Below are 27,845 nucleotides of genomic sequence, written 5' to 3'. Positions count from 1 at the left end.
ATAGGAAGGGCCATAGTGGGGTTCATCCTGGCTACCACACATATGCATTGCATCCCTACCCCAGCACACCCACTAAGCTGTTGCCCAACTTCTTCCTAACACCTTGGGAAACTGGAAGTTCATTACCTCATCAGGTAGCTTACAGTTTCAGTCAGTTCTCCATTAGAAAGTTCTGCCTTTAAACCAAACACCGCATGTTCTCACTCATAGGTGGGAATTGAACAATGAGATCACTTGGACACAGGGTGGGGAACATCACACACCGGGGCCTGTCGTGGGGTGGGGGGAGGGGGGAGGGATAGCATTAGGAGATATACCTAATGTAAATGACGAGTTAATAGGTGCAGCACACCAACATGACACATGTATACATATGTAACAAACCTGCACCTTGTGCACATGTACCCTAGAACTTAAAGTATTAAAAAAAAAAAGTTCTGCCCTTTAAATTGATACAAAATCTCAGCTCTCACATACTTTTTGCATTTCAGGCTAGCTCTGACTTTCGGAGCAAACAGAATTTTTAAAAATCTGATCTATTTTTCTCTTTTATTGGTAATTATTATATTACCCTATACAGTTTGAGCATCCCAAATCCCCAAATCCAAAATGCTCCAGAATCGGAAGCTTTTTCAGCACTAACATGATGCTCAAAGGAAATGCTCATTGGAACAGTTCAGATTCCAGATACTTGGATCAGGGATGCTAAGCCAGTTAAATATAATGCAAATAATCCAAAATCCAAAAAAAAAAAAAAAAATCTGAAATTCAAAACACTTCTGGTCCCAAGCATTTTGGGTAAGTGATACTGAACCCGTATTATTATAGGATCCTATCATTAGAATCTTTAATTTCTGAATTCATTTAGATTCATTCAAGATAGCTGTATGGAAAGCTTAAAATGTAAAATGTTTTAAGTCCCGAAAACTGCATCTTTAGAAGATTTGTGCTCTATCCTCATTTTATCCTTTTACATTGAATGAAAATGCATCTAAATACGTCCCATGTGGTATTCCTGAGCCTGACCTTAACGTTTTTAGAATGGAACGTTGTCTTACTGTGACCTTCCTTTTGAAAGTTTATAATTGGTACAGATATGAGGTTCAGAATAAATTGCATCAGCTTAGCTATGCTGAAGCTCCTGGATATTGTCCAATAGAGGATATACACCCAAATGCCTATAAGGGGCCAGGCGCGGTGGCTCATGCCTGTAATCCCAACACTTTGAGAGGCCCAGGGCGGGTGGATCACTTAAGGTCAGGAGTTTGAGACCAGCCTGGCCAACATGGTGAAACCCCATCTCCACTAAAAATAGAAAAGTTAGCCAGCTGTGGTGGCACCCACCTGTAATCCCAGCTACTCTGGAGGCTGAGGCAGGAGAATCACTTGAACCCAGGAGGTGGAGGTTGCAGTGAGCCAAGATCATGCCACTGCACTCCATCCTGGGCGACAGAACGAGACTCGTCTCAAAAAAGAAAAAAAAAAAAGGCCTATAAGGGCTGGGCCAACAACATAAAAACATAAAAGAGTAAAAGAGGCCAGGTGAAAGAAAAATAGTGAATAGTAGAGACTGGTGACCTGGAATGAATTTGCCCCATCAAAAGGTGGTGACTGTGGTACAGTTTATGCCACTATGGGATTAGAGTTTAGATTGCAAATATTCAGATTCTTCAATAGAAGCTAGAATTTTTCACATGAAATTTCATAAGATGTAAACAAAACCAGCCCTTTAAACTTAACAAGAAGAACAAAAAAAGCACATCTGAGCTGCCAGTTTAGGACGTGTGTTTTTTTGTTTTTTTTTTTTTTTGAGACGGAGTCTTGCTCTGTCGCCCAGGCTGGATCCGGTGCAGTGGCGCAATCTTGGCTCACTGCAAGCTCCACCTCCCGGATTCACGCCATTCTCCTGCCTCAGCCTCCAGAGTAGCTGGGACTAGAGGCGCCCGTCACCATGCCCAGCTAATTTTTTTGTATTTTTAGTAGAGACGGGGTTTCACCGTGTTAGCTAGGATGGTCTCGATCTCCTGACCTCATGATCCGCCCGCCTTGGCCTCCCAAAGTGCTGGGATTACAGGCATGAGCCACTGTGCCCGGCCAGCACTTGCATTTTATGTTTTCTTTTGTAAGGTGTAAATTTCATAGGCTTGATACTCATAAGTTTGTTACTGAATTTTAAATTTTTTCTAGATCAATTCTCTCCATTTTCGTCTAGCAGTGGAAGAAGACTGAATATCTCGTATACCAGAAACATGACTCTTAAAGATGGTAAAAACAGTAAGTAATGTTTCATTAAAAGAGAAATGTGAGTCATAGAAATGTATCACATTAATCTGAAAAAGAGGATTCCAGCCTGGCCATGATCAGTCAGTTACATTTTTTAAATGCCTAGGCTAAACATTGGAGGGAAATATGCCAATATAATAGAATTGATTGGCTCTGGGTAGTAGAGTTGATGGTATTTGCTTTTCTTCTTTACACTTTTTAAAAATTTTGTAAATATTCTAAAAATATGTCATAAAATAAACATAGCAAAACAGCTGAAATGAAATATGCCAGAATGTTAGAAATATGCCCAAAAAAACCTCTTTTTCCCCAATTCTTTGTACTTTTTTTTTTGCTTTGCAATTTTTCTGCAGCGAGAATGTATTACTTTTAAATAAGAAAAACAGTTTTCAAAACTATGTCAGAGAGGGACGATTACCCACTGCCCATGCAGTGTTTCAGGGGTTTCAGGTGGAAGTGGGTCACTGCAGAGCTGTAATTTATTAAGTGCCTTATCTGATGTAAGTTTTTATCTTCACAACGTAAATGAGGGGGAGTCGCTGTTATACCCACGTATGGAAGATGAAAGCATGGATGGTAAGGCACAGAAGTGAAGTAGTTTAGTCAAGGCTAGTGAGTGGCAGAACTAGGATTCACACCTACTCTTTGTGACATTGACTCTTAGGCTGTTTCCACCACTTTTCCAGTAGAAAATTGATTTTTGATTGTAAACTAATTTGAGTTGGCTCGACTTAGTGACTGATTTTCTTTAACTGATGTCAAAAGAGGCTGACGCTTAAGCCAGAAGGCAGTTTATAAACTTTTGGCTGGAGCAGTGTAGCAGCAGGACCAGAATTCTATGATAGCTGGTCACTGTATCCCTTCTGCTGTGAGACAGTTTGTGTGGGAGGCCCAATGGGCAGAGTCAGAGCTCAGAATCCTGGCTAACCTTGAATGTGACATGTCATTGAACTGTGACAGTTCTGGTATAAAAATATGCCTCCCAGGTAGAGCAGAATACTTTCACCAGCTGATCACAGAACGCTCTTCCTTGGACAGAGGAAAATCTCTTTTACTTCACCTCTATGAAGACACTCACCCAGTAACAAATTTTTTTTTTTTTTTTTTTGACACAGACTCTGGCTCTGTTGCCCAGGCTGGAGTGCAGTGGCACGATCTTGGCTCACTGCAAGCTCCACCTCCTGGGTTCGTGCCATTCTCATGCCTCAGCCTCCCGAGTATCTGAGACTACAGGCACCCACCACCACGCCCGGCTAAGTTTTTGTATTTTTAGTAGAGACAGGGTTTCACCATTTTAGCCAGGATAGTCTCGATCTCCTGACCTTATGATCCACTCACCTCAGCCTCCCAAAGTGCTGGGATTACAGGCGTGAGCCACCATGCCAGCCAGTAACAAATATTTTGTTCACACAAGTTTATTGGGTTACAGCTCTTCAGTTATTTTTCAATCCTGAGCCTAGATGGTCATTATCTTAAGTGCATTGGGCATATTGTTAAGCCTTTATAATGAAAATTTGTAAACATCTTTATATAGTAGCATTCTGCAAATGGTTAACCCATCCATTTATGCTCATTTCATCCTAAAAAATACAACCCCCCAAATCTGGAAGTATCTTATTCTAGACTCCTATATGCTGAATGCAAATATCAAAAGCGGTAAAGTTTCACTGGCTTCTTCAACCTGAATTGAACAGAAGAATTACATATTTGATTGTAATTCATATAGGCCAACTGTGTTATTTGGCATGGCTCTTCACTAAAGCACCAAGCACTGATTTGAAGTATGTTGCATTTTTTGGAATTAAAAAAAGTTTTCATGAAAAAATAAATACATAATTGAAAAGCCAACATGATTGCTGTTCACTACACCCTTTTGGCAGTATTCTATGAAAATAATCCAAGTCTGTATGTAAGAGCTTTCAGAAAATGATACATAGCTAAGTCTCCAAAAAATGCTAATAAGCAATGACCACAATTAAATAGAATGCATGAAACAGGAAGCTTAAGAGACCAGGCTGGTCACAGTGGCTCACACCTGTAATCTCAGCACTTTGGGAGGCCAAGGCGGGAGGATTGCTTGAGGGCAGGAGTTTGAGATCAGCCTAGGTGACATAGTGAGATCCTGTCCCTATTTATAAAATAAAAATTTTTAAAAAGGAAAAAAAAAAAAAAAGATACCAGAAGTGCCAGGCACGGTATCTCCCACCCGTAACCCCAGCACTTTGGGAGGCTGAGGCAGGTGGATCACGAGGTCAGGAGATGGAGACCATCCTGGCTAACATGGTGAAACCCTGTCTCTCCTAAAAAGTACAAAAAATTAGCCAGGCATGGTGGTGGGCGCCTGTAGTCCCAGCTACTCAGGAGGCTGAGGCAGGAGAATGGCATGAACCTGGGAGGTGGAGCTTGCAGTGAGCCGAGATTGCACCACTGCACTCCAGCCTGGGCGACAGAGCGGGACCCTGTCCCAAAAAAAAAAAAAAAAAAAAAAAAGGTGCCAGAAGCATTTATGAGTCCAAAGCAGAAGCAACTTCTAGTGACCACAGTGAGAATGACCAACTATTTTAAGTATTCAAGGCTTGCAAGCTATTCTTACTTTGCTACTAGAGGCCACGTTTCACAGAACCCTGCCTAAACTCAATGATAATAGCTAAGATTTATTGAGTTTTTGGTTTATGTCAGATACTGTATTAAACACTTTCCAAAGATTGTTTCATTTGCATTTTCAGAAAAGGCCAATGAGATTAGTGTTATTGTTAGTGTGAACTTTATAAATTACTAATCTCTGTGAGCCAAGGTCAAGGCTCAGAGAGATTAGTAATTTTCCAAAAGTCACACCAGAAGTTATTGGTGGAGTCAGGGTTTGAACCCACACTCCAGGATACACGTGCTGACCTAATACTGCAGGTGCCACACTTGATACCTTCTTAAATGCATGAGAGGATGTTTAAGGTCCTCTTATATGTGACAAGAGATATCTAGGGTAGGAGTTTTTTTGGTAGTGTCTTTACTGTGATCTGTTGGCATTCGCGCCAGTTAAATACATGTCGTATTTTATAAATTCAAAGAAAATGGCCGTGGTGTAACTGGAGGCACTTTCTGATAAGAAGAGTAAAAGCCTGTTGACATGATATAGGGTGGAGAGTTTTATTCATTCATACATTCAATACAAAGTTTTTGATAAAATAGATATGCCAAGTGATGTGGAGAAGAGAAGGAAATGTCTTTGTCCCTGCTTTTTTTCTGTTAAGGAATTTGCCATTTGGAAGTGTGTATGTTGAGAAGCTGGAGAGCATGATGGTCAAGAGTGCGGGCCCTGGAGTTCCTGTACTTTAGTATTTGACTTTTGTGAACATTTTTATTTTGATAATTTTTCTGAAACAACTGATAGAGAGGAAAATCACTCTTTGTAAACCAGGATGAGGAGAGAATCATAGTGGGTGTTTTGTATGCAGAAGGCTAAATGTTCAGAGGAGGGAGAAATTAAGCTGCCCAGGCCAACTCTTCCCAAGGACAGTGAGGCTGATGTGAATGGGCAATGGGGTTTCTGTGCTGTGGCAGGGCACCAGCAGCGTAGTGAAGGAGAAGCGTGAGCACAGAGCCACAGTGCAGGGAAAGCTGGGGGCATATATGGGGAATTTTTTTTGTGTGTATTGGTTTTTTGTGTTTTGTTTTGAGACGGAGTCTCTCATTCTGTTGCCCAGGCAGGAGTGCCGTGGTATGATCTCGGCTCACTGCAACTTCTGCCTCCCGGGTTCAAGCGATTCTCCTGCCTCAGCCTCCCAAGTAGCTGGGACTACAGGTGTGTGCCACCATGCCCAGCTAATTTTTGTGTTTTTAGTAGAGATGGGGTTTCACCATGTTGGCCAGGCTGGTCTCGAATTCCTGACCTCAGGCTATCCGCCCACCTCGGCCTCCCAAAGTACTGGGATTACAGGTGTGAGCCACCTCCCCAGGCCTAGAGAATGTTAATTGTCCCACTTTCCTATTTGGGTGGAGCATCAGGCCGTCCATGGAGGAGAATGGTAGGAAATAAGACTGAGAGGGTGGGGCCTCCAATATCAGGCCAAGTATTTGGAATGGGGTCGGAACATCAGCTCTGACTATTGAGATGAGAAGCAGGAAGACCCCAGAGGACCTCCTCAGATTCAGCCAGGCCTGAGGCAGTGGGGCCTGAGGCAGGGTAGAGCAGTAGGAATGGAAGGAAGAGATGCATAGGATAGGGAAGAATTTGGCAGCTTTGTAGTAACTGTCCCTATTTATAAAATAAAAATTTTTAAAAAGGAAAAAAAAATAAGATGCCAGAAGCATTTATGAGTCTAAAGCAGAAGAACTTCTAGTGACCTCAGTGAGAATGACCAACTGTTTTAAGTATTCAGGGTTTGCAAGCTATTCTCTGCTACTAGAGGCCATGTTTCACAGAACCCAGCAGTGGAAACTGTTGCATGTGAAAAGCGAAGGAGTACGAGGCATGGATGTTGCATGTGGAAAACAAAGGAGGATGAGGCAAGGATGACAGGTTTCAAGCCTGGATGACAAGGAGCATAGGGATGCCAGTCAGGGAGCTCACAGGTCTGGAGAAGAAGGTAGAGGGAGATGATTTGTCGGCCCCGCCATGTTCGTCTTAAGTCACCAGTGGAGCATCCAGCTGGTAATGACAATAATCGGAGGTCACCTGGAGAAGGAATGTCGGGGCTGGAAACAGATTTGAGCTGGCAGCATCAAAATGATCATTGAAGTATCAGAAGCAGACAAATTGATTTTGACCTGTATATTCTACCCCACAAAACTTTAGGTTTTCGTCTCCTCGGATAATCAACCATTTCCATACTCATGTAATCTAGGCATACTCTGGAGTTATTACAGGTTTGGTTCCAGACCACTACAATAAAGTGAGTCAAAGTTTTTGGTTTCCTCATGCATATAAAAGTTATGTTTATATTATACTTTATTGTGTGCCAATAACATTATGTCTAAATAAAAACAATGTATATACCTTAATTAAGAAATGCTTTATGGCTAAAAAAAAATGCTAATGATTATCTAAGCCTCCAGTGAGATGTAATCTTGTTGCTGGCATAGGGTCTTGCCTCAATGTTGATGGCTGTGATTGATTTATAGTGGCAATTGCTGAAGATTGGGGTGACTGTAGCAGTTTTCATAAAATGAGATACCAAGGAGGTTTGCTGCATCTGCTGACTCTTCCTTTCATGAAAGATTTCTCTGCAGCATGCAGTGCTGTTGAGATGCAGCAATTCAGTCACATCTTCAGTCTCCACTTCTAGTCCTAGCTCCCTTACTATTTCTACCACATCTGCAGTTACTTCCTCTGCTAAAGTTTTGAACCCCTAAAAGTCATCCATGAGTCATTAACGTCTTCTAAATTCTTGTTAATGTTGATAATTCGACCTCCTTCCATGAATCACAAATGTTCTTAATGGCATGTAGAAGGTTTTCAATTTACTTTGCCTAGATCCATCAGAAGACTCACAATGTATGGCAGCTATTGCCTTACAAAATATATTTCTTAATAAGACTTGAAAGTTGAAATTACTCCTTGATCCGTGGGCTGCAGAAAGGATGTTGTCTTAGCAGGCATGAAAACATTAATCTCCTTGTATGTCTCCATCAGAGCCCTTGGGTGGTGACTATGTGCATTGTCATTGAGTGATAATATTTTGAAAGGAATCTTTTTATCTGAGCACTATTGAGTAGGTCTCAACAGTGGGCTTAAAATATTCAGTAAACCATGATGTAAACAGAAGTGCTGTCATCCAGGCTTTGTTCCATTTATAGGGCACAGGTAGATTTAGCATCATTCTTAAAGGCCCTAGGATTTTCAGAATGGTAAATGAGCATTTAATTCAACTTAAAGTCACTGGCTGCATTAACCCCTAGAAAGAGAGTCAGCCTGTCCTTTGAAGCTTCGAAACCAGGTATTGACTTCTCCACTCCAGCTATGAAAGTCCTAGATGGCATCTTCCTCCAAAAGAAGACTGTTTTGTCTCCATTAAATGTCTGTTGTTTTTTGTAGCCACATTTATCAATTATCTTAGCTAGATCTCCTGGATAATTTGCTGCAGCTCCTCTGTCAGCACTTTCTGCTTTATCTTGAACCTCATGAACCAGTCTCTGCTAGCTTCAAATATTTTTTCTGCAGCTTCCTCACTTCTCTTGGCCTTAATTGAATTGAAGAGAGTTAGGGCCTTGCTCTGGATTGACTTTGGCTTAAGGGAATGTTGTGGCTGGTTTGATCTTCTATCCAGACCACTAAAACTTCTCCATATCAGCAACAAGGCTGTTTCACAGTATTTATTATTATCATTATTATTATTTTAGAGATGGGGTCTTGCTTTGTTTCCTAGGGTGGTCTCAAACTCCCAGGCTCAAGCAGTCCTGCTTTGGCCTCCCAAAGCACTGGGATTACAGGCGTGAGTCACTGCTCCCAGCCCAGCTATTTCACCTTTTTATCCTTCATGTGTTTACTGGAGAAGCACTTTTAACTTCCTTCAAGAACTTTTCCTTTGCATTCACAACTTGGTGGTTTGGCATCAGAAGCCTAACTTTTGGCTTATCTCAGCTTTTGACATTCCTTCCTCACTAAACTTAATCATTTCTAGCTTTTGATTTAAAGTGGGAGATATGTAACTCTTCATTTGACCACTTATAGGCCATTGTAGGGTTATTAATTAGTCTAATTTCAATATTGTATTGCCTCAGGGAATAGGGAGACCCATAGAGAGGGAGAGAGACAGGGGAATGGCTGGTCAGTGGAGCAGTAAGAACACACACAATATTGATTGAGGAAGTTCTCTATCTTACATGGGCGCAGATTGAGGCACCGTAAAACAATTATAGTAGTAATATCAGAGATCGCAGATGACTGTCACAGATATAATAATTTAAAAGTTTTAAATATTGTAAGAATTACAAAAATGTGACATAGAGACACGAAGTGAGCACATGCTGTTGGAAAATTATGCTTGACATGGTGTTGCCACAAACTCAATAGGTAAAAAACATAGTATCTGCAGAATGTGCAATAAAGTGAGATGTGCCTGTAACATGAATCATTTATTAGGTGTATATAGTCTTACCATTTCTAAAGCATTTTCATATTTGTTTAATAATTGTTACATTTTTATACCCATTTAATGGCTCAGAAAATCAAGGCTCGGAGATTTAGTGAGTCAAGATGACAGAGGTGATCAGGTGGCAGATTCCATTCTCAACCAAAAACTTCTCTTTACCAATTCATTGCATTTTTTTTTTCTTGAGATGGAGCCTCACTCTGTCACCCAGGCTGGAGTGCAGTGGTGCGATCTCAGCTCACTGCAACCTCCACCTCGCAGGTTCAAGCTATTCTCCTACCTCAGCCCCCTGAGTAGCTGGGATTACAGGCACGTGCCGCCATGCCTGGCTCATTTTTGTATTTTTAGTAGAGACCGGGTTTCACCATGTTGGTCAGGCTGGTCTCAAACTCCTGACTTCGTGATCCCCACTCCTCTGCCTCCCAAAGTGCTGGGATTACAGGCATGAGCCGCCGCACCTGGCCTGCATTTTTAAAATTATAATACTGCAGCCTTTTTGTTGAGGGAAAAATACGTAAAATATTCGACAACCTTAAAATATCTAAAACTCAAGCCTGGATGTGGTGACTCATGTCTGTAATTCTAGCACTTTGGGAGGCCCAGGCAGATGGATCACTTGAGTCCAGGAGTTCAAGACCAGCCTGGGCAATATGGTGAAACCTCATCTCTACAAAAAAATCAAAAAATTAGCCGGGCGTGGTGGCACGCCTGTAGTCCCAGCTACTTGGGAGGCTGAGGTGAGGGGATCACCTGACCCCAGGAGGTTAAGGCTGCAGTGAGCTGTGATTGCACCACTGCAGTCCAGCCAGGGTGACAGAGTGATACCCTGTCTTAAAAAATAAATCAAAATAAAAATAAAACCCCTGAAATTCCATTTTAAAAAAGAAAAGTTTGAAATTCATCTTTATTGGTACTAGCTTGACAGATGCTTTTCTAACAAAATACTTTATTTCCAAGAAGTTCAAAGTTGTTGATTTTCCTTTGAATAGTTGGTTGTCTTTAGGTTGAGAGTGAGATTCTTTATATCTCGGTTATTAAATAAATGAATGTCTTCTAATTTTTCTTCATTTTTTCCCTTTTTCCATAAAGATGTAGCCATAGCTGTAACGTATAACCATGATGGGTCTTATAGCATGCAGGTAAGCCTTACTGGTTTTGTTCTACAGTGCAGAGCTGAATCTGACCGCTTTTATACTGAATAGGGTCTTTCACTCTCTGGTTTCCCTTAAGCCTTTGACTATTATGACTGTAGTTAAGAGAATATCTTATGCTTGTATTTCAGACCCAATTTGGGGAAATTACCCCCTATACAGTTTCTAACTGATTGTTTACTCAGTTGGGCTGTGATTCCTTTAAGAATAAAAACTTGGCAAAAAGTAAAAGCTCAAATCAGACATTCACAAGCCCCTAAAGTGTGTGCCTGTATTTACAGCAAAAGCAGCAGTTTTCACATTTTTTGTCTCAGGAACTGTACACTCTTTAAAATACCCACCAGAGCACTTTGGTTTGTGTTAATTATATCTCTTGATATTTACCATTTAGACAATTTAACTGAGAAAATTTAATTTCTAATTTTTTAATTGTGGTGAAATACACATAATGTAGAATTTACCATTTTAACCATTTGCATTCAGTGCATTCAAGTTGATATGTAACCATCACAACCATCCATCTCCAGAACTTCTTTCTTCTTGTGGAACTAAAATTCCGTACTCACTGATTAAACAGTTAACACTCCGTTCCTTCTTCCCCCATCCCCTGAGAACCACGATTCTACTCTCTGTCTCTATGAATTTGACTACTCTAGGTACCTGATATAAGCGGAATAATGTAGTATTTGTCCTTCTGTAATTGGCTTATTTCACTTGGCACAGTGTCTTCAAGGTTCTTCCATGGTGTAGCATATGTGAGAATTTCCTTTTTTTTTTTTTTTAAGGGTGAAAAATACTCTGTTGTATGTATATACCACATATTCTTTATCCATTCAGCCATTAATGAACATTCGGGTTGTTTCTAGCTTTTGGCTATTGTGAATAATGCTGCTATGAACAGGGGTGTACAAATACTTCTTTAAGACCCTGTTTTTTGTCCTTTGGATATATATCCAGCAGTGGAATTGCTAGATCATATAGTGATTCTGATTCTTTGAAAAACCGCCATACTGTTTTCCATTGCAGCTGTAGCAGTTTACAGTCCCATCAACAGTGCACAATGGCTCCAATCTCTTCACTTCCTTGCCACTACTTATTATTTTCTGGGGTTTTGTTTTTTTTTTGTTTTATAATAGCAATACTAATGAGTGTGAGGTAGTAGTATCTCACTGTGACTTTGACTTGCATTTCCATAATGACTAATGATGTTGAGCATCTTTACTTATTGGCCATTTGTATATCTTGTTAGAAAAATCTCTATTCGAGTCCTCTGCCAATTTCTTAATTTAATTGTTTTGTTGTTGTTGTTAAGTTATAGGATAAATTGAAAAAATTGTAAAACCTAATCACAAGTACACATTCCATTAGCCATCAGAGTGATAACATTATCACACGTTCAGTAGCCTCTGGAAAATTCCACTGTGTACTTATGAGAGAATGAGAGTATAAAAAACAAATAATATCTTAATCTTTTTTTCTTTTTTTTTGTTTTGAGAAGGAGTTATGCTCTTGTCACCCAGGCTGGAGTGCAATGGCATGATCTTGGCTCACCACAACCCCCACCTCCCAGGTTCAAGCGATTCTCCTGCCTCAGCCTCCCAAGTAACTGGGATTACAGGCATGCACCACCATGCCCGGGTAATTGTGTGTTTTCAGTAAAGACAGGGTTTCACTGTGTTGGTCAGGCTGGCCTCGAACTCCCGACCCCAGGTGATCCGCCCACCTTGGCCTCCCAAAGTGCTGGGATTATAGGCGTGAGCCACCACGCCTGGCCTTCTTAGTCTTATTATGACTTTGTGGATGCCCTAAAAGGGTATTAGGGACCCCAAGGAACACATAGGTCATATTTTGAGAACCTCTAGTGTAAAGTTCATGGTAATCCTCAATTAGAAGAAGACCATTACATTGGCAAAATGGAATGCTTAAATGGTTTAAAAAAAAAAGTGGGAATTCAATCAAATTCCTATAGTAAGGTACAACTTCAGGGAATAGAATAAATCATTTTTAATATGAGCTAAGAGATGTCAAATCCTGCAGAACAGATTTATCAGTGGTATGTATTAGACCTCCCAACACTTTGAGACACATTGATTTTCTTTCTGTGAGATTCAGAAAAACCATGGAAAGTCTGCCTACTTGGGTATGAGGGTTATAATTCATATTAATGCCTCTGGTTTGAGATTATTTCTTGTCCCTGTTAGCTGGTAAAGTAGATTGCCAATTTGTTCTAATCTGCTCATGGAACTACATTCACAATTTTAAAATGTGTTTTCGTGAATCTTTAAACAAAACTGTTTTCAATCTAACCTTTATGTCCTAAGAGTTCCACAAACATTCAAATGGCTGTTTTAGTAGGTTACAAAGCATAGTAAAATGTCATATTTAACTTAGGATAGATGAGAACCAATGTGTAAATATTGCAGTGTGACCTATTTCACCTTAGTGTACGTAATATATTTGAAAAGAATAGCCATGTGACTTCTACACTAGCATTGTGGGAATTGAAATGAAGACTAGAGAGAGAAGATGTAAATGGATTTTTTACCTCAGGGAAATTTTAAAACAGGTTCCATGTCCTTTTATCAGCTTCCTTGAAACATTGTGAACTTTGTTCTTTGGCATATGGTCTCTGAGAGTGAGAAAATTATGGCCAATCTCCAGCTAATTTATGTTCTTAAATCATAACTGAAACCCATGATTGGGCCTACGTGTTGATAAGATAAAAGAATATCATCTAATTATGTGATTCTGGCATTTTTTTGGTGACTGACTTTGGCACAGGAAAACTAAATTTGACTTCAAATACTCAGAAATAAGTTTATATTACAAACATGTAATATATGCAAATGAATTTTAATAATTTTGCATAACTTGGTTTGTATTTTTGTTTCATATTTTTAATGCTATCTTTATATGTTTACGTGAACCTTTATCTATAGCATTATGGTGCTATGGATAAGTTATATAACTTTTTTTTCCCTTTTAATTATCTTCCTGTCATTTCTATGTAAAGTATCTTGGTTAGGAATAGGGGAAAAGTTCCATGACTTTTTAAAAAATATATGTTATATATGTTTAAGACACATTTTATGTTTTAAAACTACCAATAGTGAAGAATTGATTCTGATCTTATTAATTCTGTAGTGTTGTTCATTTATTTTAAAAATCTTATTTTTCATTTTTTTCAGATTGAAGATAAAACTTTCCAAGTCCTTGGTAATCTTTACAGCGAGGGAGACTGCACTTACCTGAAATGTTCTGTTAATGGAGTTGCTAGTAAAGCGAAGCTGATTATCCTGGAAAACACTATTTACCTATTTTCCAAGGTAATGTCTCTTCTTTATAATATCCCTCCTGGGGCATGGGAGAAAACTGTTTGACCAGAGACATTCCACTGAAAGAGATTAGAAAGATCCAGCTTCCTGTGACCACTGCTGTGACCTTTTTCCCTCAGTTTCCCCCACCATTCTGTGTTTCTTTGCCAAATTCCTGCCCTCTGTAGTTTCCCATTCACTTCTCTCGTTCACACAGATGCTCATTGATAGACACATACCCATTTTCTTCCTGAATTCTGAAACAAATCCTTCCATTTTCTTTGTCAGAGCATATCTCCCTGCTCAGTGGGTGGTGGTATCTCAGGGCTTTGATGTCTGAACACTTTTCCCCACCCACCATCCCCCTGACAACTGGAATCCTGGTGATTTTGGAGGAGGTGACCACTGAGAGAGGAGTCTGTGGACCAGTTGTTCCTTGTGGGGAAGGTGGACAGTAGGAAGGTGGATGGCATTACTGGTGGTCTCTTGACAGTCAAAGGATAGCCGAGGCAGGCTTTGCATGGTTTTGGTTAGAAGCCTGCTGCCCAGTGAGTCCTTAACCTTCGGCCTGGGCAGAAAGAGGATAATGCATTATCATATATGCTGTGGCCTCACAGTGCTTTGTGATGAGATTCCTTTAGTAGTCTAGTAATTAAACTACTATATATGGAGTTGAGGATGATCCCACTTTGCCAGGCATTCCTTTCCATAGCCAATTACGCTACAGTAATATGATGATAGAGGCCGTATAATGGAATGGTGAAAAACTCAAGTTCTAAAATGTGAAGCTGCTTTGGTTCAAATTCTGCCTTGCCACTTAACAGCCATGTGACCTTGGCCGTTAAACTCTCTGGGCTTTAGCTCTCCTATCTATAAACAGTTTAATAATAACAGCAGTAACAGTAATAATAATAGGTGCAGTGGCTTGTGCCTGTAGTCCCAACACTTTGGGAGGCCAAGGCAGGCAGATTGCTTGAGACCAGGAGTTTGAGACCAGTCTGGGTAACATAACCCCATCTCTACAAAAAATTTTAAACATTAGCCAGGCATGGTGGTGTGTGCCTGTAATCCTAGCTACCCAGGAGGCTAATGCAGGAGGATTAATAGGCTCAGGAGTTCAAGGTTGCAGTGAGCTATGATTGTGCCACTGCACTCCAGCCTGGGTGGCAGAGTGAGACCCTGCCTCTAAAAAATAATAATAATGACAGTACCTTCCTCATAGAGTTGTGATGATTCACGACATGATGTGTGTGTTAAAGACAGTTCCTAGCATACTGAGCATCTGAGAGTGGGGATGCTACTGAAAATGGCTTCCAGACAGTGGCTACTTGTTGTCTACAGTGAATGCTTTATTCTTATTTTATTTTTTGAGATGGAGTCTTGCTCTGTTGTCCAGGTTGGAGTGCAGTGGTGCCATCTCGGCTCACTGCAAGCTCTGCCTCCCGGGTTCACTCCATTCTCCTGCCTCAGCCTCCCGAGTAGCTGGGACTGCAGGCGCCCGCCACCATGCCCAGCTAATTTTTTGTATTTTTTAGTAGAGATGGGGTTTCACCATGTTAGCCAGGATGGTTTTGATCCCCTGACCTCGTGATCTGCCCACCTTGGCCTCCTAAAGTGCTGGGATTACAGGCGTGAGCCACGGCGCCCAGCCTAAATCTTTTAATATACTGTGAGGCATGTATACCGTTACGCCTTTACAATGGGAAACCAAGGCTGAGAGAGGTTTAATAATTTGCTCAAGGTCATAAAGCTAGATTAGAACCCTGGTATTAATGGTGACTAATTTATTTTTTTTTTTGAGTCAGAGTCTCACTCTGTCACCCAGGCTGGAGTGCAGTGGCGCAGTCTTAGCTCACTGCAGCCTCTACCTCCCAGGCTCAAGTGAGCCTCCTGCCTCAGTTCCCAAGTAGCTGGGACTATAGGCGCGTACCACTACACTGGGCTGATTTTTGTATTTTTTGTAGAGATGAGGTTTCGCTATATTGCCCAGGCTGGTCTTGAACTCCTGGGCTCAAGCCATCTGCCTACCTCAGCCTCCCAAAGTGCTGGGTTTACAATCGTGAGCCACTGGGCCTGGCCATGATGACTAATATTTAACAAATTGCTGGGAAACAATTATTACCTCAGGTATATTAGTAAAAATATAGTGATAGGATGTTGATTCGGTTTTCAGTTTGTTTTCTGTTTCTAGGAAGGAAGTATTGAGATTGACATTCCAGTCCCCAAATACTTATCTTCTGTGAGCTCACAAGAAACTCAGGGCGGCCCCTTAGCTCCTATGACTGGAACCATTGAAAAGGTAATCACATGACATCTGTAGAATGATGTTCAGTAAGTTTTAATACGTGGCTTTGTTAAACTTGTCATTTATGTCCTTTTCCCTTTCTAAACCTTGCTCATTGGAAAGCATCCACTTCACAAAAACAAGAGGATCTATTACAGATTCAAATTGTTTATTACAGTCCTCACTGAAAATACCCATTTACCTAATTTATGAAAAAGACTGCTGTTTTTGAAGGCAGGCATTTGCATCAAAGTACAAATAATCTAAATTGTCTTTTTATGATTAAAACTGAGCATTCATTAAGCATTATTCAAAAAAGCTGGTTTTGAATGTTAAATTTAATAGCAGCAAATTTTTCATGAAATAATGACATTTTCTTTTAGTGTACGTAGTTGCATCTGCGTTAATGTAAAAGGCTGGTATTGGTGAAGAACAGTACGGTTTGGTGTTGAATGCAGTATATAATTCACAGTTGCAGTCCATACTGTCTGAGTCAGTTCAGGCTGCTAGAACAGAATACCATAGACTGGGTGGCTTTTAAACAATAGAAATTTATTTCTCACGATTCTAGAGGCTGGGAAATCCATCAAATCACCAGCAGATTAAGTGTCTGGTGAGAGTCTACTTACCGATTTCATAAACAGCCATTTTTTCTCTGTGTCCTCACGTGGTGGAAGGGACAAGGGACCTCTCTTCAGGCCTCTTTCATAAGGGCACTAATCTCTTTCATGAGGCCAGATCCCTCATGACCTAATCACCTGCTAAAGGCCCCACCTCCAAATACCATCATCCTGGAGGTCAGGATTTTAACAAATGAATTCTGGAGGGATATAGACATTTAGACCCTAGCACATACTGATATAACATCAAATGGTGATAGATCAGTATCCGTAGTCTCCTTTTATATACTTGAATACAGTAGAGTCTCCTCAAATACACTTAAATCATAAAAACTCAACTGTATATGCTTGGAACAAAAAAAGAAGAAGAAGAAAATAACTACTTAAATAGTGTGGGTGATTTCAGCCACTATTCTCGTTTGGAAATATTTACCCCAAGTGGGTATGAGCTAGGAGACCTGGATCTGCCTTTAGCTCATTTGATTTCAGTTCCCACAGGCCTCTCATAGTGCAGGCATCTCTGCACAACTCTGTTAGTCTCCCACTTAGTAGCCATGTTAACCAAAACGAAAGTGAGACCATATAGGATCTATGAGTCCATTTATATGTATACAAAAGAAAATAGAAATCTCTTTCTGGGGTTGCTAATAAGTTTGATTCTGTTGCATGAAGATTGTCTTCACATTTACTACACAGGGCTCTGAAGACTTCAAACACACTTACTATACTTAGCCCTAGACAACCCCAAAACAAGAAAACCAGTCAAGACCCTCATCCCTCTTCCCTCTCTGGGGAAGACATTTAAGTATATTAGTCCTTCCCTACTGGCAATGTGTCTTGTTTCTACATTCTTGAAAAAAATGAAAGGATTTCAAAATACATGGAGTATATTCATGTGATTCAAGTAAAACTAAGTGGTTTTGTGGGTGGGGACAGGGGACTAAGCAGTGCTACCCATGGACGACAGTGCCAGCAATGCCAGATTGACCTGTAGGGCTCTCATTTGACTAGTGCATTTGGGCTGTAGGCCTCTGATTTGACCAGTGCATTTGACCTGTAGGCCTCTGATTTGACCAGTACATTTGGGCTGTAGGCCTCTGATTTGACCAGTGCATTTGACCTGTAGGCCTCTGATTTGACCAGTGCATTTGGGCTGTAGGCCTCTGATTTGACCAGTGCATTTGACCTGTAGGCCTCTGATTTGACCAGTACATTTGGGCTGTAGGCCTCTGATTTGACCAGTACATTTGACCTGTAGGCCTCTGATTTGACCAGTGCATTTGGGCTGTAGGCCTCTGATTTGACCAGTGCATTTGACCTGTAGGCCTCTGATTTGACCAGTGCATTTGGGCTGTAGGCCTCTGATTTGACCAGTGCATTTGGGCTGTAGGCCTCTGATTTGACCAGTGCATTTGACCTGTAGGCCTCTTATTTGACGAGTACATTTGGGCTGTAGGCCTCTGATTTGACCAGTGCATTTGGGCTGTAGGCCTCTGATTTGACCAGTGCATTTGACCTGTAGGCCTCTGATTTGACCAGTGCATTTGGGCTGTAGGCCTCTGATTTGACCAGTGCATTTGACCTGTAGGCCTCTGATTTGACCAGTACATTTGGGCTGTAGGCCTCTGATTTGACCAGTACATTTGACCTGTAGGCCTCTGATTTGACCAGTGCATTTGGGCTGTAGGCCTCTGATTTGACCAGTACATTTGGGCTGTAGGCCTCTGATTTGACCAGTACATTTGGGCTGTAGGCCTCTGATTTGACCAGTACATTTGGGCTGTAGGTCTCAGATTTGACCTGTACATTTGGGCTGTAAGCCTCTGATTTGACCAGTGCATTTGACCTGTAGGCCTCTGATTTGACCAGTGCATTTGGGCTGTAGGTCTCAGATTTGACCTGTATATTTGGGCTGTAGGCCTCTGATTTGACCAGTGCATTTGGCAGATGGCACAACCACATGGGCTCTACTTCTGCTCTGTAAGTTTATATACCAAATCTGTGGACCACAAAGGACCTCTGTGTTGTTTTTTTTCTTTTTATTTATGTTTTATTGTTTATATTCATGGTTTGCAACATGATGTTATGAGTATATATAGACAGTAAAATGGTTACTATAATGAAGCAGATGAACATATCTAGGACCTCTGTGTTTTCAAATATTAACCTGTCACACTGAATCTCAAGGTGTTTGTCAAAGCTGGAGACAAAGTGAAAGCGGGAGATTCCCTCATGGTTATGATCGCCATGAAGATGGAGGTAAGGAAATCATGAGTTCATTTGCTATGAGGACTTTGGGAGCAATCATACCTAATGGTTCTTTTGCCTTATTTTGTAAGTTAATACCACCTTAAATATGAAAAGCCATGATTGACGAAGCATTAATTGTAGGAAACAAAACCAAACTATCCTTCTTGTAGAAAAGAGTTTTACTTTAACTTTGTGAAATTGCACCTGTCATTTCTGATTCTGAAATTAATGAAATTATCAATAGCTTGGAATCAGGCGATAATCCAACTGAATGTTAACTGTTGGTATTTTCTAAGATAATCCAACTGAATGTTAACTGTTGGTGTTTCTGGAATGTTAACTGTTGGTATTTTCTAATGTTAACTGTTGGTATTATCTTGGTTCTAAGGCCGAACCAAGGATGCCAGGCATCAGTTTCAAAGTGAAAACCGCAATCAAATTAAATTAGCTGTTTAGGTTTTTAGATGGTTCAAATGGTAGGTCAGTGATTCTTAGCCCTGGCTGAATATTGCAGACAGTCCTCAACTTACAATGGTTCAATTAAGGATTTTTCAGCTTGACAATGGTGCAAAACCATACACGTTGAATATGCTCCTCAGCTTACATTGGATTTATCTGGACCTGACCCCATCGTAAGTCAAGGAGCATGTGTACAGTCACCTGGGGAGATTTGAAAAAATTCTTCCCCAGACCCATTGAATTGCAATCTCCAGGAGTAGAGCCCAAGGATCAATACTTTTGAAAGGCTGGGCGCAGTGGCTCATGCCTGTAATCCCAGCACTTTGGGAGGCAGAGGCAGGCGGATCATTTGAGGTCAGGAGTTCACGACCAGCTTGGCCAACATGGTGAGACCCCATCTCTATTAAAAATACAAAAATTAGCCAGGCATGGTGGTGCATGCCTGTAATCCCAGCTACTCAGGAGGCTGAGGCAGGAGAATTGCTTGAACCTGGGAGGCAGAGGTTGCAGTGAGCCGAGATCTTGCCACTGCACTCCAGCCTGGGTGACAGAGCGAGACTCCGTCTCAATTTAAAAAAACAAACAACAAGGCCAGGCGCAGTGGCTCACGCTTGTAATCCCAGCACTTTGGGAGGCCGAGGTGGGTGGATCATGAGGTCAGGAGTTCAAGACCAGCCTGGCCAACATAGTGAAACCCCGTCTTTACTAAAAATACAAAAATTAGCCAGGTGTGGTGGCACACACCTGTAGTCCCAGTTACTTGGGAGGCTGAGGTGGGAGAACCGCTTGAACCCGGGAGGCAGAGGTTACAGTGAGCTGAGACCATGCCGTTGCACTCCAGCCTGGGTGACAGAGTGAGACTCCGTCTCAACAGCAACAACAACAAAAAACAAAAAAAAAAAAACAAAAGCAAGCAAACAAAAAACTGTTGAAAGCTTCCTAGGTGCAATTCTCATGTGAAGCTCAAGTTGAGAACTGCGAGCTACACCAGAGCTTCCCAGTCATATCGTTGAAAGGTTACTGCTGTGTCCCAGTGTTCATTCCTCTCAACTTGTTACTGTTCTCCCTGTGTGCTGTGATGTTAAAAATAAAAACAACAACAACAACAAAGCGTTGGAAAGCACCGAGAGATGACAAAACATCAAAGTTGGCTACAGTTTTCATTTTTGGTCTCCCTTTCTTGACTTGGTGTATACTCAGTCCTCATTAGTATTGCAGCTATCATTTGTCCTGTCATGTGTCTCTGCAGCATACCATAAAGTCTCCAAAGGATGGCACAGTAAAGAAAGTGTTCTACAGAGAAGGTGCTCAGGCCAACAGACACACTCCTTTAGTCGAGTTTGAGGAGGAAGAATCAGACAAAAGGGAATCGGAATAAACTCCAGCAAGGAAATGGCCAGTTAAGTAGTGTCTTCTCTCTCCACCAAAAAGAGGAAGTGCCTCCAGCTTTTCTGGGGGTCTCATAAAGAGCAGTTTTACTAAATGATTGTATGCTTATGCTGAACACCTTTCATATTGGAGAATCATGCATTTGGGTCACTAATTATCTCAAAATATTTCATACTAATAAAGTTGAATTATTTTTTATTGGAAGCCAATGTTTGTTTCTGCCTCAAATTTTTTACAAGGTAGTCTCTTTTAGGAAGGGGGGAAGAGAAAAGGACATTTAATTAAATGAATTACTTTCCAGTTGCTGTTATGATGAAAATGAGCAGTAATATGTTTCAGAGACAGGTGCCCTGGAGTTCAACAACTAAGGTTTTGTCTGGCCAAAAAGCAACTTGCTAGGTAGTTTAAAAGACATGGATATTAGTCGGGCGCGGTGGCTCACGCCTGTAATCCCAGCACTTTGGGAGGCCAAGGCGGGCAGATCACTTGAGTTCAGGAGTTCGAGACCAGTCTGGCCAATATAGTGAAACCCGTCTCCACAAAAAATAAGCTGGGTGTAGTGGTGAACATCTGTAGTCCCAGCAACTTGGGAGGCTGAGGCAGGAGAATCGCTTGAACCTGGGAGGCAGAGGTTGCAGTAAGTCGAGACCGCACCACTGCACTCTAGCCTGGGTGACAGAGCGAGACTCTATCTCAAAACAAATACATAAATATAAATAAGTAAAGACACGGATATTGTTTCTAGTGTTTGTGATTGGAAAGTTTCTAACTAGATTGCCTCTGCCTTTATTGTACTTTCTAAGCTTATAAAAATATATGTATTATATATCTATTACATGCTAAAATATATTAATATTTAATATAACATTTTGGTAAATTTGAAAAGCATAATTTTACAGAAAAAGTTGGTAAGAGTTAAAAGCCTGAGCCTGCTGAATGCTTTTTTTAGAAATACTTTTTTCATTATGAAGAAAAACCATTCAGTTTACTTTTGTCTAGATTCTGTGTTACTTTTACTAACAGATGTGCAGCCCTTTGCATTTTTATGTATTCATTGAAGTGTTAAATATTTGTTGAATTGAGTTCTTGCTGAATACATAAGACTATGCTAAATGTTGTGGAAAATACAGAGAAATATAAAAGATGGTCTCCGTACTTTAAGATGCCTATAATTGGAAAAGTAAAACATAAATCATGTCTGCTATGATTAGAATGGGTCCCCTATGTTTCACGTGTTAAAAACTTAATCCCCAAGTTCATGTGTTGATTAGAGGTAGGACTTTCGAGAGGTAATTAGGATTGGATATGGTCATCAGGGCGGGGCCCCCATGATGGGACTGGTGGCTTTAAAAGAGGAAGAGAGACCTGAGCTGGCTCGCTCTTGCCCTCTTGCCATGTGATGCCCTCCACCATGTTATGACACAGCAAAAAGGCCCTCACCAGACACCGGCCCCTTGATCTTGAACTTCCCAGACTTCAGAACTGTAAGAAATAAATTAGTTCATAAATTATCCAGTCTGTGATACTCTGTTTCAGCAATGCAACATAGTCTATGACAATGTCGAAAGTTACAGTTTTAGCAAGGGTGCCGTTTCCCCTTTCCAAACAAAACTTTCTCTGTTTAAAAGAGGGAAAAGCAGCCGGGCGCGGTGGCTCACACCTGTAATCCCAGCACTTTGGGAGCTGAGGCAGGCGGATCACAAGGTCAAGAGATGGAGACCATCCTGGCCAACATGGTGAAACCCTGTCTCTACTACATATACAAAGATTAGCTGGGCATGGTGATACGCGCCTGTAGTCCCAGCTACTTGGGAAGCCGAGGCAGGAGAATCGCTTGAACCAGGGAGTCGGAAGTTGCAGTGAGCCGAGATCATGCCATTGCACTCCAGCCTGGTAACAGAGTGAGACTCTGTCTCCAAAAAAAAAAAAAAAAAAATAGAGGGAAAAGCAAAAGGTGCTGTGATGGAAATTTCACATTGCTGTTTGCCCCCTTTCGGAGAATGCTGTTTGTATCCTTCAGTGGAACATGGTTGAGTTCACTGTTTCATTGTTAAGTGACTGTGTTGGGGATATGTGTATTGAAGGAATTCGAAGCCAGCTAGCCCAATTACCCACATATTGGTAGAATTCTTTCTTTAGGATCTTTGCCAGTTCTGGTGCTGTGTGAGCAGAGTTATTTTGCACATGAATGCATCTGTTTGTGCTACAGACACTTACAGAGCATTTGCTCTACACTAGGGCCTCTGGAACAGAGATGGTAAGAAATGATTTCTGCTCTTGCCCTATCTAATGGGAAACAGGATCCAGCTGCATAGAAAAATGTAATATAGGCCGGGCGTGGTGGCTCACGTCTGTAATCCCAGCATTTTGGGAGGCCGAGGCAGGTGGATCACCTGAGGTCAGGAGTTCGAGACCAGCCTGGCCAACATGGTGAAACCCCATCCTTACTAAAATTACTAAAATTAATTGGGCATGGTGGCACATGCCTGTGGTCCCAGCTACTCAGGAGGCTGAGGCAGGAGAATTGCTTGAACCCCAGAGGCAGAGGTTGCAGCGAGCTAAGATTGTGCCACTGCACTCCAGCCTGGGCTATACAGCGAGACTCCATCTCAAAAAAAAAAAAAGGTAATATAATTGACAGTAAGTGGTATAATATACCAGTCTACTAGGTGCCATGTGCGGTGAGGTGAGTGAGGTACTAAATTCTGCTTTGGGTCAGGAGGCAGAGGGAGAGGCAGTGATGTCTGAACTGGGCTTTGGAGGATAGCTGTTTGCCAGATGGAGAAAGAAGGTGGTGAGTCCAAGGCCACTGCAGGCAGAAGGACTGGCAAGGTCTAGAACAGTAAGGCATGAAGGCATGCAATGTATTCGGGGCACAGAGTGGATGGCCTGGGCCACTAGGCAGAGAAGGGCAAGCAAGGGACGCAGCTGCCTAGCAATAAAAGGCCTTCTCTTGTCCCAGAGGACTTCATTCTGGAGGCAGTGAGGAGCTGCTGGAGATTTTCAACCAACTTAAGTTTTTCAAGTTGTATAATGTCCACAGTCTGGAGTACAGGCCGGAAAGTGGAGAGAGGCTGGAGACAGTCCCAAACAGACACCAGATATGTGGGCCAGGCTGGCTGCAGTGGCTCAAGTCTATAATCCCAGCACTTTGGGAGGCAGAGTCTGGAGGGTCACTTGATGCCAAGAGTTGGAGACCAGCCCCACGCCGCCTGCCCCATGTCTCTACAAAACATTTAAAAATTAGCCAGGCATGGTGGTGCATCCCTGTAGTCCCAGCTACTTGGGAGGCTGGGATGGGAGGATCGATTGAACCCAGGAGTTTGAGGTTACATTGCTCTGTGATCACATGCCACTGCACTCCAGCCTGGACGACAGAGTGAGACCCTGTCTCAAAAAAAAAAAAAAAGACAAGAAAAAGTACAGGTCAGAGTGGGGAAAACAGACTTTGGTGCACATCTTGACTTAAAAGTACTTCTCTGTTGGATAAGACCCATTAGAGGCATGGACCAAAACAGAGTCATTAGTTGGGAAAAAAGCAGCTTGCTACCTTCTCTTTGACAGCAGCATGGCTCAGGTATTTAATAACCAAGAGAACAACAACATTTAAGCACCCCAATGATTGCTTTTTGATCACAGGGGAGAACACACAGCATTGTAGTTGAAATACAGCGGTTAAAATTCTTGCATTCAGGCCCTAGCTTTGTCACTTATTAGCTGTATTGCCTTGGGCAAGTCATTTAACCTCTCCGAGCTTTATCTGTAAAATTGAGGTGGCAGCACTACCTCACAGGCTTGTTTTGGAGATTAAAGGAGAAAATGTAGAGGTTGCCTTTAGCATTGTACCTGGAAAATCATTTATACTTCCCTGGTAGTTATTACCAACTCTGGTTCTTGCTAGGGAGCAATTAAGAAACTGCTTTAAATTCAGACTAGCTGGTTACTCTTGCCAGGAAAAATCCCAGGTCCCAGGATGGTGAAAAATCCTGCCTGGATATGCATCACCCTGTCCCCTCCCTACCCTCCCTTCCCCAGCTGTAGCCTGCTCCGGTGTGACCCAGGCACCTGTCAACCACTTAACAGACTGTGTTGCTGCCGGACTGTGGGGGGAAGCCTCCGTCAGTAGCTAGAGCTGTGTGCTGGTGGGACAGCGGCCCGCCCACTTGCATGAAGGCTGGGTAACTTGGAAAAACTCACTTGGAACAACTCACCTAGAACAACTCACTTGTATGAAGGCTGGGTCCAGACTTGCTCCACCTGCTGCCATCAGTTGTCACGTGTGTAGCTGGTGCTGGAGGGGAAGCCTGTGTCCGGCTTGCGCCTCAGTGTGGGCAGGCATCATACCTGCTGCCGGACAGCAGAGTAGGGTGGTCTTTCATTTAGCTGAACTCTTTCCCCCCTTTCCCCCTCCACAATCAACTTCTCACTCCTGCACACTTACTGTTAACCCTCAACTAGTCCTCTTAGGAATATTAGAAGGTGAAATGTGCATCTGAGCCCTGCGTAGCCAGGGCTCTTCTGCTGTTGTCATTAAAATATTCACAGCGTTGTTAGTCATGTTTGCACGTCTATTGCATCTTTCATCAGAGGGTCTCAAAAAAGCACTTCTAGGCCAGGTGCGGTGGCTCACACCTGTAATTCCAGCACTTTGGGAGGCCGAGGCAGGTGGTTCACCTGAGGTCAGGAGTTCGAGACCAGCCTGGCTGATATGATGAAACCCCATCTCTACTTAAAAAAAATACAAAAATTGGCCGGGCGTGGTGGCAGGAGCCTGTAGTCCTGGCTACTCGGGAGGCTGAGGCAGAAGAATTGCTTGATCCTGGGAGGCGGAGGTTGCCGTGAACCTAGGTTGTGCCACTGCACTCCAGCCTGGGTGACAGAGCAAGACTCTGTCTCAAAAAAAAAACAAAAGACACTTCTAGATATTCACACTAGGCTTCAAAATACCCCAGAAGAGGAAAATGTGATTTAAACTGTGTGGTAGAAGAGGAGATGGCTGTCCCCAAATGCTTTGCTCCTTGCCTAGTGCGGAGAACCTTAGGGTACCAGTCCCCTCCTGCTAATAACATACTGTTCCCTCAGGGCTGACCCCAGGGTGCTGCCCCTAGAGGTTAGTAGTTTTTCCCCACCAGACTGGGAGTATAGGGCATCACAAGAGGCCCTGCCCACAGCTGTCAGCTCTCAAAGCCACAGGCTGAGTGGAAACACTCTTGCCCACCCTCCCCCAACCCCTGGGAATGTCCCTGGGGACACCATGCCTTCTGGACCAAGGGGTGCCTGGGCCTTTAGGAGATTATAACCCTGATACCAATGATTACCTTGTCACCCTGACATTTGTCTCCCATTTGCTGGATCCCTGGGGACTCAGAATGCCTTGGTGCCTCTAACTGGCTCAGTCTCCTGCAGCGAGTTCCAAGTGAAGTGTGCACTCTCCTCTGCCACCTCCAAGCCACAGCACAGACGTTAACTCCCTCCCTGCTAAGAATGGCTGACGTCATTCTCTGTATCTACCACCCCTCGCTACCATTTCGCTAAACTGTTAGATTAGATTAGATATAATTCTTATTCCAAAACCAGCTTCCCACAGAAACAAAAAACCACTAACAAAAACAGGGTAATTTGGGGCTTCTCCCTCTTCCCAGTTATTCCTTCATCATGACCAACTATGTCATAAAAGCATTACGGTTTTTTCCATTATTGAAAGCAGGCAGTTAAAAGTGCTACTCCAGTGAACACACAAATGATAAGAAGGTGAAACAGCCAGGCTGGGAGCAGTGGCTCACACCTGTAATCCCAGCACTTTGGGAGGCCGAGGCGGGAGGACTGTTTGAGCCCAGGAGTTCAGGAGTTTGAGACCAGCCTGGGCAACACAGGGAGACCCCATCTCTACAAATAATTTAAAAAATTAACTGGGCGTAGTGGTAGGCATCTGTGGTTCCAGCTACTTGGGAAGCTGAAATGGGAGGATTGGCTGAACCTAGGAGTTTGAGGCTGCGGTGAGCCGTGATCGTGCCACTGAGTGACAGAGCAAAACTCTGTCTCAAAAAAAAAAAAAAAAATCTATTTAGAATGGGACTTTTATTAAAACATTTCTCCAGACTAACTGATCCTCTGTTTGACTTACAGAAGAAGACTAATCACTTGAAACCTTAATAGAAATAATATGTTTCAACGTTGCTGAGGAATTTGTTAACTTCCCAGACGAAAATTCTGGGATTAGGTGGTGAATAGAATAACAGACAGTGAGGGCCAACATTCAGAGATTTGCATTTCATGAAAGGACTTTGGAAATATCTGAAATTTGGGGAAATGTACTTAGGAGGTGGGGTCAGTAACAGTTTAGGTCTTATATACACAAGGACAAAATTTCACCCTCCTCCTAGAACATTAGGGAGATGGATTAATGGGAGAGATGTGACTCACCAAGGGCAATATTACATTTATAAACACTGAAAGAATATACTAGTTTAGAAAGTTTTATCATCAGCCCTGCTTTTTCAGATGTTTTTATTCTTGCATTTTTTGCACATTTTTATTATTTGCTAATGTAATTCTCCTTTCCAAAGAAAATCTGACTTGCTTAAATGAATGTTTAAAGAAGTTAAAAACTGCACAGTGGAATCCACATTTAAGAAACCCCTTTATGGGCAAAAGTATTTGTCTCTTTCTCAAACAGAAATTTTATGTTGCTGTTAAAACAAAAGTGGCTTGATTTCTTAGATACACCAATAAAACAAACAGTATAATGTATCAACAGTATAATGTAACATTTAATTATGATTTCTTCTTTTTTACTTCTATTTTTTTTTTAGACAGGGTCTTGCTCTGTCACCCAGGCTGGAGTGCAGTGGCCATCATCACAGTTTATGGCAGCCTCAGCCTCCTGGGCTCAAGTGGTCCTCCCACCTCAGCCCCACAAGTAGCTGAAACCACAGGCATGCACTGCCATGCCTAGCTAATTTTTATGTATTTATTATTTATTTTTGTAGTCTCCCTTTGTTGCCCAG

The 27,845-nt window shown here is 42.0% G+C and overlaps 1 protein-coding gene and 1 long non-coding RNA gene across 14 annotated transcripts in view; both read left to right on the top strand.

The window, feature by feature from the left end:
• MCCC1 (methylcrotonyl-CoA carboxylase subunit 1) overlaps positions 1-21,047 on the top strand; it is a 100,979-nt gene extending 79,932 nt beyond the window's left edge. For 7 of the 13 annotated variants that reach the window (XM_047448586.1, NM_001363880.1, NM_001293273.2 and 4 more), the window contains 6 exons: positions 2,188-2,274; positions 10,461-10,510; positions 13,711-13,848; positions 16,028-16,135; positions 18,928-18,999; positions 20,699-21,047. In XM_047448586.1, coding sequence (XP_047304542.1) covers positions 2,188-2,274; positions 10,461-10,510; positions 13,711-13,848; positions 16,028-16,135; positions 18,928-18,999; positions 20,699-20,827 — 584 coding nt within the window. In that variant the 3' untranslated portion in view covers positions 20,828-21,047. Of the gene's footprint in view, positions 1-2,187; positions 2,275-7,075; positions 7,173-10,460; positions 10,511-13,710; positions 13,849-16,027; positions 16,136-18,927; positions 19,000-20,698 lie in introns of those variants that run through there. The other 6 variants (XM_047448591.1, XM_047448590.1, NR_120640.2 and 3 more) reach the window with 5 other exon arrangements.
• Positions 2,281-5,681, top strand: LOC124906309 (uncharacterized). The gene is made up of 2 exons (XR_007096188.1): positions 2,281-5,035; positions 5,094-5,681. It is a non-coding gene; the product is annotated as an uncharacterized LOC124906309 (long non-coding RNA).

The sequence above is a fragment of the Homo sapiens genome, chromosome 3 (genome assembly GCF_000001405.40).
Source record: "Homo sapiens chromosome 3, GRCh38.p14 Primary Assembly".
NCBI lineage: Eukaryota > Metazoa > Chordata > Mammalia > Primates > Hominidae > Homo > Homo sapiens.
The sequence above is the reverse complement of the archived record's forward strand: the minus strand, read 5'-3'. Positions and strand labels throughout refer to the sequence as shown.